The sequence below is a fragment of the Homo sapiens genome, chromosome 2 (genome assembly GCF_000001405.40).
Source record: "Homo sapiens chromosome 2, GRCh38.p14 Primary Assembly".
Lineage (NCBI taxonomy): Eukaryota > Metazoa > Chordata > Mammalia > Primates > Hominidae > Homo > Homo sapiens.
The window spans coordinates 104,804,625-104,818,257 of record NC_000002.12 but is presented as its reverse complement, the minus strand read 5'-3'; the positions used below and the strand labels follow the sequence as shown (position 1 = coordinate 104,818,257).

The following is a 13,633-nucleotide window of genomic DNA, read 5'->3' as shown; positions in this document are numbered from 1 at the left end:
AAAGACAAAATACGGCACTAAAATTCCCCCAGCATGTATATGATCCCACTTATGTAAAATGATATATAAGGTATGTGTAGTATATATAATATATATGCTATATATTAGAGATATATTTTATTTTACTTTTTAATTTTTTTTGAGGTGGAGTCTCGCTCTGTCACCCAGGCTGGAGTGCAAGGGCATGATCTCAACTCACTGCAACCTCTGCCTCCCAGATTCAAGCGATTTTCCTTCTCAGCCTCCGGAGTAGCTGGGATTACAGGCACGTGCACCACCACGCCCGGCTAATTTTTATATTTTTAGTAGAGACAGGGTTTCACCATGTTGGCCAGGATGGTCTCAAACTCCTGACTTCAGGTGATCCGCCCGCCTTGGCCTCCCAAAGTGCTGGGATTGCAGGCATGAGCCACCGTGCCTGGCTTATTCTTTATATATTATACATGGATATAGGCATATGCATGCATGCCCTTGGTGTTCTTGAGATAGTGGTAATGAAGTGGGATAGGAAGAAATAATTATATTTGCTTTTATTCACCTTTTTAAGTATTGTTTTGCTTGTTACAGTAAGTACATATTCTCTAGTTTGAAAATAAAGAAAAATTAAACGAATATAAACTATGCTGTGAGTGTTGCTTGCCATCATCCACTCTGCAGCACACAGGGTGGGGAATTCATGAGGTAATGGGAGCTAAATTTCTGGGCCGTCACTGGAGCTCAGGCTAACTCTGGCAGGGGAGTCCTAGGGGGACCACCTGACAGTCACCTCTCATGGCACCAGGCTTATCACCATCTTACATTTAGATAAGGGGACACTTAGGTGACAAGGGGAAGCCGTACCTCCTTGACAGGAAGGACCCTGACCAACGGGTGGGACATTTCTGTGGGCTGGGAGCAAACACAGGTCTTCCTGCCAGATCAGGTGAGGGTGGCCACCTCGCAGGGAGGAGGCACAGATTAATTGCAGGGGAAATAATTTGAGCTTGGGACCAGGCGCAGTGGCTCACGCCTGTAATCCCAGCACTTTGGGAGGCTGAGGCCGATGGATCACCTGAGGTCAGGAGTTTGAGACCAGCCTGGCCAACATGGCGAAACCCTACCTCTACTAAAAATACAAAAATCAGCTGAGCTTGGCGGTTTGTGCCTGTAATCCCAGCTCCTTTGGAGGCTGAGGCAGGAGAATCATTTGAACCCAGGAGGCAGAGGTTGCAATGAGCCAAGATCGCGCCACTGCACTCCAGTCTGGGTGACAGAGTGAGACTCTGTCTTAAAAAAAAAAAAAAAAAAGAATTTGAGCTTGGTAGAGGAGAGAAAAACTTTTCTTCTCCTTCAGTTCAAGGGCTGCCATTGCAGCAGGTGAAACAAAGCCCTGACTGCGTGGGGTTTTGTGTTGCTTTATATTAGGTGAGCTGCTTTGAGGCAAAACCCTGTTTCCTGTGTCCTTCATGGGCCAGGCACTGTGCCGGGGCTTGAAGTGCAGAAACAAGGCTGAGGTGACCTCTGCTCTTCTGAAGGTCACAGTCAAGCTGGGGAGACAGATGGTACAGGAGATCCCAGACCAACAGAGTATCGCCACGCGTGGCAATGATGGCTCCGCAGGAAACCCACTAGGCATGAGGGTGAAGATCAGGGCTAGGACCGCTTTGGACCGGAGGTGCTCTCTGACAGGTCTTTCTGAGCACAGGACATTTCAGGCAAGTCGAGGATGAAGCAGAGAGGCTGACAGTGAATAGCGGGATGCGTGTCCTGTTCATCTGCAGAGCCATGAGCTGGGCTGCTGGGTTAGGGTGCGGTGTGAGAGGATGGCTTCCTGTTCAGGAGTTGGACTTTCTCCCAAGTGCAAAGGCTAAGTAGTGTGCTCAGAAATCCAGTGATGGAGTGCCTCTGCCTCCACTCAGCGCCTAATACAAATGTGCTGAATGAGCAAAAAACAAATACAGTAGATGGATGTTGCATGCTCAGAAACATTCCATTTTATTTTATTTTTAAACTTTGGTTTCAATTTCTATTATATAAAAAGTCACTTCCATTTAGATTTGTTTTCACTGCAAGACCAAGCTACAGTGGGGAGAATGGGGTCTGGTGTTTAGCCACGTGCCTGCAGCTAGAGGGAAGCAGCTTGAGATGCCCTCCCACTGCCTGGACCTCATGAAGTGCTTTCACGAACCAATCCGTCCCCTTTGTCATCACCAGACACACTAGACTGAGCAGGTATTCATATTGTCTCCACTTTGAAAATAAGGATGCGGAGCCTGGGAGAATGGAAAAGACTTGGCAAGGTCTCTGGAACATGTGCCTGTGTTCTGGTGAGCTTTCTGTGAGCCCAAGGCAAATGGTGGCCACATTCAGAATTGCTTGGGCTTCTACCTGTGGCCTCAGAGGCCTTTGCTGGAGGAGTCTGTGGTGAGCAGGAAGGAGCTTAGGGGTGGCCCTGACAGACCATCCCCACTCCTCTTACCACTTCCACACAGGTCAAGCCCTTGGTTGGTGTCTGCTCATCAGGTGAATGGGAGACTCCACCTCTCTAATCCCACTCTGTGCCCACTGGGTGTCCACATCCTAAACTTCATTAGGACTCCGAAGTCCTGTGGTTGGGGCAGGGACCAAAAAGATCAATGGAAGTTCTGGCTGTCTCCCCCGTCCCTACACTTAAATATATGTGGTTGTAATGATTCTGGATATGCTACCTGTCTACCAATGAACATCTTGGTCCTCTGCCATCCTGAAGCCCTGGCCCAGCCTCCCCCTTAGACCTGTTTCCAAGGGAGTCTACTGTGATCACTAGGATCACCGCTTATGATGTGAGACTCATTTAGGTGTGTCAGCATTTGGGGACACGTGTGACATTCAGAATAGCTAGTGTAGATCTTCAACCAGCTTCCATTCTATGTTTCCTGACAGGATTCCACTGGTAATTCTTTGGAGCAAAACGATGCTTTTGCAACTTAATCATCAGCATTTGGAATACAGTAACTCTTGTCTGAGCTTGAATGGAAAGAACCCACAGTCTGTGAGTTCCAGCCATTTAGAAAAATGACAGTTGCCGTAAGATGTGAACTTGACATTTGAAATCAGCAGACAATGAGGAGTTAGTGTGATGTAAAGAGACAAACATGGGATTTGGAGATGGGGAGGGCTGGGTTCCACATGCTTTTCACTTGCTGTCATGGGACTTTGGAGTGGATAGTTTTCATGATCTCACTAAAGCCTATTTTTATCACCTTTTAAATGGGGGATAATACCATCTACCTCATAATATATTGGTGAGGATTAAAAGAGAGGAATTAAAATACCTGGCACATAAGAAACACTCAAGAAATATTAGTTTCTCTGCCCCTTTACTCTTAATAATTCAATTAATCACTCCAAAAATAGAACATTCTTCAGAATAGACTCCTACCCATTTGTTGTTGATGGGACATCCAAAGGGATGTGCAATTATTTTGTTTGGTGTATAGTAAGTTGACTTTGCACTTTAAAAGGGGAAAAAGGAAACCTCTGGTACCTCAAACAATGACCCTTTTGAAGTCTGCACTGGACACCATTCTCAAAGAATATTCTTATTAACATACTTTCTTATAAATGGAGCTCTACTCATCAAATATGTATATGTTAGTACCCTGCAGAGTCAGAGCAGCGCTTGGCAAGCCTGAGGATGTTTCCCACGTGTGCTGTGGGATGGCATAGGCAGGGGAGACCCTTTAATTTTGTGACATGGTTTTTGGGGGGGCTCCAATGTGAGGTACTCTTGGCATGGTTTCTTCCAGCTCTGGGCCTGTTCTGGGGCCTGTCAGGACTCCCACATATCCCATCTTTGCAGGCAACTCCCTTTGAAGTCCATGGGAACTCTTTGAATGGAAAACATACACAACGGGGTGTTGATGCCAATAAGAATCAGGCCTGATGTATGCAAGGAATAAAGGTGCTTCTCACCCCAAATATTAGCTCTTTAGCCCAGAAACTGTGGTTTGATCATTAAATAAAAGAGCACTCCCCTCCCCTCAAAAAACTCACAATCCACCACCAAAGCTCCACCACCACCACCCATTTGCTCTGGAGATGATAAACCTGCTAATTGCTGGAGAGTTTTAATTAAGCAACAGATATAGACAGTGTAGGGCTGTGTTTTTACTTTAAACATAGCAATAGAATAAACATTCTCAATTCCAGGGCAACTTCCTAAATGAAAAAAAAAAATAAACATCACTCATCGGGGATGATAATTTAGAAAAATATCTCTATTAGAGATAGTTAGAGACCTTTTTTCTTTTTTGCTTTTTTTTTTTTTTTTTTTTGGTTGAAAATGCAATCGCCGATGGAGCGCAAAGCTGCAATTTGTAGACAGGTTAAGTAAATTAAATCACTCACTGTCTTTTTTTTTTTTTTCCATTGGCTTTAAAAGTTAAAGGTAATTTGCAAAGAAAATGCTCAGTTTGAATTGGTTTGTAATATCTGTTAATGATCTTTAAAAAAATCCACTTATTCACAATTCTGTCCCTGGGGGAATTCCAATGTGCTATCAGAAAAAATTTCTAAAGTCTGAAATGTCATTAGCTAGTGATTTCTTTGAAGTAAAAAGCCCCGAAAAAAATAAATTATATAAGGTATACAAGTGCACAGGACAATCACTTTGATGAATAATATCTCTTTTTTTCATAACGTTTCATACCTAAAAATGCAACAACTGAAATTCAAGCTGGTAAATTATAGAGCCATCTTTTGAATTACCTCAATGTAGGCATGCCTTCTGTTTATTTCTCACATATATTGAGTTCTTCCATATATTTATAGATTGTTGATATAAAAACAGTAGTGTTAGGAACAATTTTGATGATATTCATTGTGTTTTCTTTTTGGAAACACAAAGTGTTGCCTAAATACAGGCATACAGGTGTTGCCATCCGGGGATTAAAACAATAGCCTATTTCAATATTCCATCCTGGACCCCAGAGCCAGGTGCCGTGAATGGAGGTGCAAATGCTACTCAGCCCGGGAGAGTTGTTCAATATTAGATAACAGAGCCATGAAATACTACACCAAAGGGAAAATTTTCTTCCTGACCCCAGCTGGTGATCAGTTTTTGCCTGGAAGCAGGGGAGTCTTTGTAATACAATACTTGTCAATGTTGTTGGTTTGGCTGCTATAAATAGCTATTTTTTTTGGAGGATGGGAGGAGTTGGATTTTACTAAACCATTGGCTACAGGTTAATTATACATTTCATAAAAAAGCATTTCTTGTAGCCAGTCTAAATTTGTTACGTTTTAATCCCATTTTATATAAGGCTAGAAATATATGAGCCTCCAGCAGGCCCGTTATTTTTGTCATTATTTTATACATTGGACCTTCAGCTCTCTATCTCTCTTTTTTTCTTTTTCCTCTCTATGCATTACTCACCTCTTAGCTAAATTGCAGAGGGTCCCAGTTTCATTCATTCTCCCTCACAGGGAAGGCATTCTCTTCCTCTTCCTCCAGCTGCCTGAAAATCATATGCGTGGTTTTTCCTGTTTCCTGCTCTGTAGCTGACATCAGGGGAGCAACGTGAACACAGGTAAGAGCCAGCTTGGTTAGCAAATTAAAATTGATTGATTTTAATGAAGATATTCTATAATATTTTCTTATTCCCTTTATTTATTTCAAGGAAAATGGAAATCAACATTTGAAACTTTTAAATGGAAGCTTTATTGGGGTTCCACATATGGAAAACTGCAAATAGCAGAAGTATGTGACTCAATAAATTATTCTGGAGTGACCACATCCTCTAACTGCCTCCCAGGACAAGACGGAGAATGTGAACAATGCTCCTGAAGGCCCCTTTCCCTCAAAGGTAACCACTGGCCTGACTTCTGACACCATACATTTGTTTTGCTTTTTTGAACTTCATGTAAATGGAATCATATGGTAGGTATTCTTTTTTAAATTTCATCTTTATTGTGATAAGAACATTAAACATGGATAGGTGTTCTTTTGTCTGTCTTCATTCTCTCAACATTATTTTTGTGTCTATGTAGTTGGGTATACTAATAGTATGTTTTCTTTGTTATATTTTCTTCCCTTGTATCCTTGTATCAGTAATATAGCACAATTTATCATTTTTTTTTTTTTTTGAGACAGGGACTCCCTCTGTCACCTAGGCTGGAGTGCAGTGGCATGATCTTGGCTCACTGTAGCCTTGACCTCCTGGGCTCAAGTGATCCTCGGACCCAGAGTAGCTGGGACTACAGGCCCATGCCACCATGCCCGGCTAATTTTTGTATTTTTGTATTTTTTTTTTTTTTTTTTTTGTAGAGACAGGGTTTCGCCATGTTGCCCAGGCTGGTTTCAAACTCCTGGACTCAAGTGATCTGCCCGCTTTGGCCTCCCAAAGTGCTAGGATTACAGGAGTGCACCACCATGCCCGGTAGTTTATCCATTTTCCCCTTGATGAACATTTGAATTGTTTTGAGTTTTAGGCTACTTTCAGAGAGTGCAGCTGGAAACTTTCTTGTGCATGTCTTTGATGCTTGTGTATATGCATTATGTTTAGTCTATATATAGACTAAAGGGGAAGTTACCAAATTGTAGAACATGACTATGCTCAACTTTAATAAATAATGCCAAACAGTTTTCCAAAGAGATTGTGTCAGTCTCCACTCTTACCAGCAGTGGGTGATGCTCTACATCCCTGCTAGCACTTGGCATTCTCAGTCTTCTTGATTTTGGTCATTCTGGTGGTATGTATAGAGTCTCATTGTGGTTTTAATTCCATTTTCTTGGATTATTAGTACACTGAGCATCTTTTTCATGTATAGTGGCTATTTGGATATTCCCTTTTGTAAGTGGTCTTATTAAGTCCATTTTTCTATTGGACTTTTCATCTTATTGATTTGTAGGAGATATATATTCTGCATATAGCTTTTTGGTTATATATGTTAAAAATATGTACCACCCTGAGCTTGACTTTTCATTCTCTTTGTGGTGCCTTTGGATGAATAGAAAATATTAACTTTTTCTTTTGTTTTGTTTTGCTTTTTGAGATAGGAGTCTTGCACTGTTGCTCAGGCTGGAGTGCAGTGGCTTGATCATGGCTCATTGCAGCCTCAACCCCCAGGGCTCAAGTGATTCTCTCACCTCAGCCTTCTTAGTAGCTGGGACTACAGGCATGTGCCACCATGCCTATCTAATTTTTGTATTTCTGTTGTTGTTGTTGTAGATACAGGGTTTTGCCATCTTGCCCAGGCTGGTTTTGAGCTCCTGGACTCAAGTGATCCTCCTAACTCAGCCTCCCAAAGTGCTAGGATTACAAGCATGAGTCACTGTGCCCAGCTGATTTTAATGTTACTGTTAATATAGTCTATTTCCCTTTGTGGTTAATGCTTTCTGTGTCCTATTTAGGAGAGCTTTGCTTATTTCAAGGCCATAATAATATCCTTTCATATTATCTTTTGTAAGTTGTGTTGTTTCACCTTTCACAATTGGATCTACAATCCACATGGCATTGATTTTTGTATGTGGTGTGAGGTTGGGATCAAGTTTGGTTCTTTACTCCATGATATCTACTTACCCTTCATGATGAATGGAAAAGACTTCCTTTCTCCAATGCTCTGCAGGGACACTTTTGTCATAAATTAAGCACCCACTTCTTTATAGAATTATCATATTACTTTTTTCCATTATTCTGTTAGCATGGTGAGTTATTCAATGGGTTTTTGAATGTTAAACCAATCTTGCATTTCTGGATTAAACTCAACTTGGGTGTGATGGAATATTTGTCTTACATATTGCTGCATGTACTTTGGTCATATTTTCAAAAATAATTTTTATAGAAATGTTTATGAGTGAAATTTACCTGTAACTTTCTTTTATTGTAATGTCTTTCTCAAATGTGTTATCAACGTTCCACTGGCTCATAAAACAAGTTGAGAAGTATATAGTCTTTTAGAAATTAAAACATAAATGAGTCTAATATCACATAGTAATTAAACATATATGTAGTTTATCCTGAGAAGGACTCACTACAGTTTTCTGTCTTTCTATGTTTCTGTGTATTTTAACTTAGATTTTTAGCAGGAAGCTGGTTTTGTGTGAGTTTTGCATGGGAAAGTAAATAGGAATTAGACTATCTTCTAGGAGTTTCCATATGGCACTCAGCAGTATGTTCATGTGCCCAAGGCTGAAATTTGTTACTGCATCTCAATCCTGGAACCCATAATCAAGGCTCATCAGTTGAGAAACCTTTTTGGACATATGACAAGTGTTCAGATAAAATATCTGATCCCTGCCAAGAATCTTCTAGGCCAATTTAATCTCTGACTTTTGACCTTATCTGTCACTGCTCCAAAGACTTTTTAATTTTTATTTTTAAAATATCCTGTAGTAGCATGCATATCATTCCTCATCCCAGCTCTCTTTTCCTACTTAGTATTGTCCCAGTTCAAGGCCTTGTCACCTCTTGCCTGGGCAATGGCGTCTATGGGATACTATTCTCCATTTATCTTCTTCTCAGCCATGCAGATGCTGACTCTGAAATAGAAAGCTAACCACATTAGTCCTTTGCTGAAAACCAGGTGATTTCTGTATTGCTCTGCAAGATGAAGTCCAGGTTTATCAATGTGGTGCAGGTTCTTGCATGATCTGATGTCTTAGTCCATTCAGGTTGCTTAACAAAATATCTTAGACTGAGTAATTTATAAACAATAGAAATATATCGCTGGTAGTTCTGGAGGATGGGGAGTCCAAGATCCAGGCGTCAGCAGATTTGGTGTCTGGTAGGGCTTCATAGATGGCACCTTGTTGCTGCATTCTTACATGGTGGAAGGGGCAAGGAAGCCCCCTGGATCTTCTTTTATAAGGGCACCAGTCCTACTCATTATGGTGGAGCCCCCATGACTGAATCACTTCCCAAAGGCCCTACCTCTTAATACGATCCTGTCAGGTATTTGGTTCCAACGTGAGTTTTGGAAGGATACCAGCATTCAGACCATAGCACCTGGCTCTTGCTCACCTCTTCAGTCTGCTCTCCTGTCTCACTCTAGTCTTTGGCTTTACATTCCTGCAGCTCTATCTTCTGGTTCCAACTATGTGTGCTCCCTGTGGTTCTCTGTGCCTGTGCATTTGCCTGTGCTGACCTTTCTCCCTGGAATAGACTATCCATATCCTTCTGGATAATCCATTCTTTAACAGCCAGCTCAGGCTAGGTAACCTTGCCCTCCACCCAGCTGGGCTGCTTGGCTCTCCTTTCTGCCCATGTGTCTGTCTGTCAGACTGGACCGTAAGCTCTTTGCAGGCAAGGTCTGGGCTTTAGTTACCTATGTACAACCATAACTTCCTGTTTGCTGGTAGATAACAGGTGCACAATAAACAATGATAGATCCAAACAGAAGGAAGAATGGTGACTAGTTGACTATTTTGAGTTTCATTTCATTTCTTTATGGAAGCCTGAGATGGAATAAAATGGTCAAAATGCCATGACCAGAAGGGAGGCAGGAAGGAGGCAGGAAGGCAAAGGCTCAGGAAGATCTGTAGATACAATCTCTTCCTGTACAACTGAGTTCAGTCTAGCTGATTAAAATCCTCTTATGGTGGAATCCGCTTTTTATAGAATGGATTAGCAACAAGGATTTGCTGTGAAGATAGATTTTTCCAGAGAAACAAATTTGAGCAATTTAAGAATGTAAATGAAAAAAAATCCTGCCCCAAAAGCAAATTGACCAATATCCTTCCCCTGTCTCTTATTAATAAAAGAGTTTACACAGACTCTCTTTAGGAAATCATGTGAGAGATTCACAAGGATCATTAAATCTCTGCTAGACATTCACTTTCACTTTGTAAAATTGGCTATACCCTCAAAATGGTATCACGTAGAAACGGACTTTCTGGGGCTCTTATCTATGAATGGGTTCTAGCTGCACAGTGATGCCATTCATTTTATTTGGCCCATTTATTGCAAGTACATTCTAAATTTGGCCTTAATTATTTTTCCTTTCACAAAAATATTTTGTGGGATCTTTTTGAACCCTGACTACTTCCTTCTTGCCCCTTAAAACAGAAGCCAGGAGCATTATTTTTGTTCTCTTCTAATTAAAATAATTGCTTGGCTCCTTTTAACTAGATTCATGCAGTTATTAGCCTAATACATGGATGGGTGCCATGGAGTGCTTGAGAAACAAAATGAAAAGTGATCATGTAGCTTCACATGAAAAAGATTCTGTGGTGCCAAGGAGCATTATTTCCTTTCAGCCAGTATTTTATAAGGGCTTTCGTAAACCTGGCCCCCATACCCTCACTAAAAGACTATTAAGTGAAAGAATAGCTCTATTTTCTTTATTAAGGTATACCGCTAGCTCAGTACAATTTGAAGAGGGGCACTTGATATGCCGAGCATGGCACAAAGACCTCGGGTCTGGTTTTAATCTCTGCCCCGGCTTTGTCTTTCAGAATCACTGCAATTGAAGGAAAAATGCTCCATGTCCCCTCTGCCAGTTGGTGTTTATCAAAGGACAACGGAGGAAGAGAGACAAAGTGCCTGGATGTGTGTGTTAATCAAGAGTTGTCAGGACCCTGCCTCTAAAAGAAAGCGCTAAAATGATGCTTTTGACAAGACTTTTCTCAAAGTGGATGCAGTCTAAGGGTTGGAAAACAAGGCCCAATCAGGCTAGGTCTGACTTGTCGCCTGCTTTTGTAAATAAAGTTTTATTGGCTCACAGACACACTTATTTGTTTCTGTATTATCTATGGCTGCTTTCGCGCCACAACATGGAGCAGTTGTGGAAGAGACCATATGGCCGACAAAGCCTAAGATATTTACTCTCTGGCTCTTGACGGGAAAAGTTTGCCAATTCCTGATGTTCTCCATCCAGTTCATTGTTCATTTACTCGATACCTACTCCATACTGATAAATAAATTTGTAGGTATTTTTATGTAGTACTAATTTGAAGAAATGCTCAGGGCCTTTGGCTGTGAGTTAATTTTATGAGTATTCAGAGCAGGTATATGGATGGCAAGCAGCAAGAATGATTTAAGGTAAGAAGTCATGGTTAGAGATAAGATTCTGCCATTGTCTCGGGGTAAATCACTGATTATAGCCATCTTTTTCTCTGCCTGCTCTCTGGAGAAGAAGGTGTACACATATCTGGAACTCCTAGCTTGGAGTGCACCTTTATTAACTACATCAAGGCATTATGGTCAACATTGTGGACTTCTGCTTCCAGGACAAATGATGAACATCCTTTCCCACCATTTGGTGGTTGGGAGGATCAAGTGAGAGAATGTGAATCCAATTGTTTTCTAAACCATATAGGTACTATATTTGTGGTATAGATGCTATCTATAAAACTTTAGAATAAATTATCATCCCTATTTGGCATGCGAGGAAATGAGATTTAGGTAGCATGCCCAAGATCATATAGTAAGCCAGTAGAACAGCTGGCAGTTACTTCTCCTGGCTTTAAGTCACTACTCTTTCCGGTATACCATAATGCTTCTTTACATCATGTGTCTTTCTATAGTTTTGGAAATGTTCAGTCCTTTAGTTCATTGGTTCACTCATTCATCTGCTATTTAACATAATTTAAGAGCCCTGTATGAGCTAGAAAAAGAGCTGAAATTTTCCAGGGAGTGATGACTGTTTAAAGATGAGTTGTAACTCTTCAGTTGTTTTGTTCTTAGACTCCTGTGGCTGGAATCCTCCAGAAGTCCATAGATTCTTCTTCTGTTTTATTCTGTGCTGTCCAAGGAGTTGGCTTTTATTTGTGCTATGGAGAAAGAGAAAGTATATGAACTTGGAGAGGGAGAGTAATCCTATTGCTCTACAAAATGTTGCCTGACATCTTGTTTTACATTGTGTGCATATGCATGTCTCTTGAGTGCACATACCATGAAAGGAAAGAGAATGAGCGATACTGAAATGTTGATAGCAGATTGTACCAGCAACTAAAAGATGAAAATGATCCAGGCTTGGGAGATGCGAAAGCTAAGATTTTGTACATAAAGTCCAAGTGAATCCATATCAAAGAAATTTCAAATATGAATTACCCAGCTAAGTGACATATATTAAACATGGGTGTGCCAGATATAGGCTTATTTTACCATGCTGTTCAATACAGCTCTTCATTCAGATTATATTTATTCAATTATGTGTCTTGTAATTTTTGAGATGAGATGATGCCTAGAGGAAGCAGCTTCCACCAAAATATTGGATTTGCCTTGTCATAGTAAGAGAAGTACTTAAAAGTTTCTGATTTTGATATTTGCCCTTTTAGTAGGGGAAGTTTGCCAATATTTTCCTTTCATTCAGTGTCACTGGATACTTGTTGTATGAGTTCGTTCTTACGCTGCTATGAAGAGATACTCGAGACTTAGTAATTTATAAAGAAAAGAGTTTTAATTGACTCACAGTTCTGCATGGCTGGGGAGACCTCAGGAAACTCACAATCATGGTGGAAAGTGAAGCAGGCATGTCCTTCTTCACATGGTGGCAGGAGAGAAAAGTGCTAAGCAAAGGCTGGAAAAGCCCCTTATAAAACCATCAGATCTCATGAGAACTCACTCACTATCATGAGAACAGCATGAGAGTAACTGCTCCCATGATTCAGTTGCCTCCCACCATGTGTCCCTCCTATGAAACGTGGGGATTATGGGAGCTACAATGGGCTATGGTAGGGACATAGCTAAACCATATCACTTGTTCTCATCAGATTTATTGGTGAACCTAAAAGTCATATGATTCTCTAAAACAAAGGTGCCAATGAAGCTGCCTAATGAAAAAAAACCTTCCAGAATCTTCCATTATACAGTTGTCACCTGCAAAGACCTCTGAGAGGTGCAGTAGAAAGTTCTGCTTTACTCTCCTCGTTTCCCCCACAAAAGGCAGTCACAGCCTTGCCGACTGAATTTGGAGGTGATAGTATCAATTCTGTGATTCATCCATGCAGTATGCTACTTCTCAGATATTCCTAGGACCCAGGACACTGCTGTTTTAAGGAACATAATTTGTTTCATCATACAAAAGGCATATTCATAGAAGGACTTAATGTTGCTACAGATAAGACATTTTGTCAGTAAGGAAGTTGTCAACATTAATTTATTTAACTTTCCTCTAACAGAGTGAATTTTCTTCCATTTGCTGTGGAATACACTTCTTTTTCTAATTCTATTCATTTAGCAGGTATTCTACTGAAAAAATTGTCACCATGTTGGCAATATTTTGTAGAGGGGAAATAGATTTTTCAACAAAGTGTAAAATTCCACTGCAATAGAAGGCCTCCATTCTCTCAGTGTGTAAGTCTGTTTTTTAATGATTAAGCAATACTGTGGAAGAAAGTTAAACCTCTTTGAAAACTATACTGTATTACCACTATTACTGTGACTATCATTACTGTGTGCAGTGTTCTTAATGGCTTAAGTATATTACCCTGGGTTTCCCAGAAAGTAGAGCTTGAGGAAAATCTCACGTGCTGCCTCTTTCGTGGAGAGTTTCATCCCAGAGTAGTAGGAGTTTGGAAGAAAAGGTAGTGCGGCTGAAATGCAAGGAGCAAATACAAGGGTGTATTATTGATGTATGTGATGACACGTAGCTGTCATCAAATGACATGTAGCTGACTGCTCCATCACCTGAGGCTGTGGTAAGCTAAACATTGGCTCCCAAAGAAATATCC

The 13,633-nt window shown here is 40.8% G+C and overlaps 1 long non-coding RNA gene across 4 annotated transcripts in view; it reads left to right on the top strand.

The window, feature by feature from the left end:
* The window catches only part of PANTR1 (POU3F3 adjacent non-coding transcript 1), a 47,759-nt gene extending 34,926 nt beyond the window's left edge, over positions 1-12,833 (top strand). For 2 of the 4 annotated variants that reach the window (NR_131233.1, NR_131235.1), the window contains exons 2-4: positions 5,474-5,549; positions 5,640-5,825; positions 10,415-10,686. This is a non-coding gene — a long non-coding RNA (POU3F3 adjacent non-coding transcript 1). Of the gene's footprint in view, positions 1-5,445; positions 5,550-5,639; positions 5,826-10,414 lie in introns of all 4 variants that reach the window. The other 2 variants (NR_037883.1, NR_131234.1) reach the window with 2 other exon arrangements.
* The last annotated feature ends 800 nt before the right edge of the window (positions 12,834-13,633 follow it).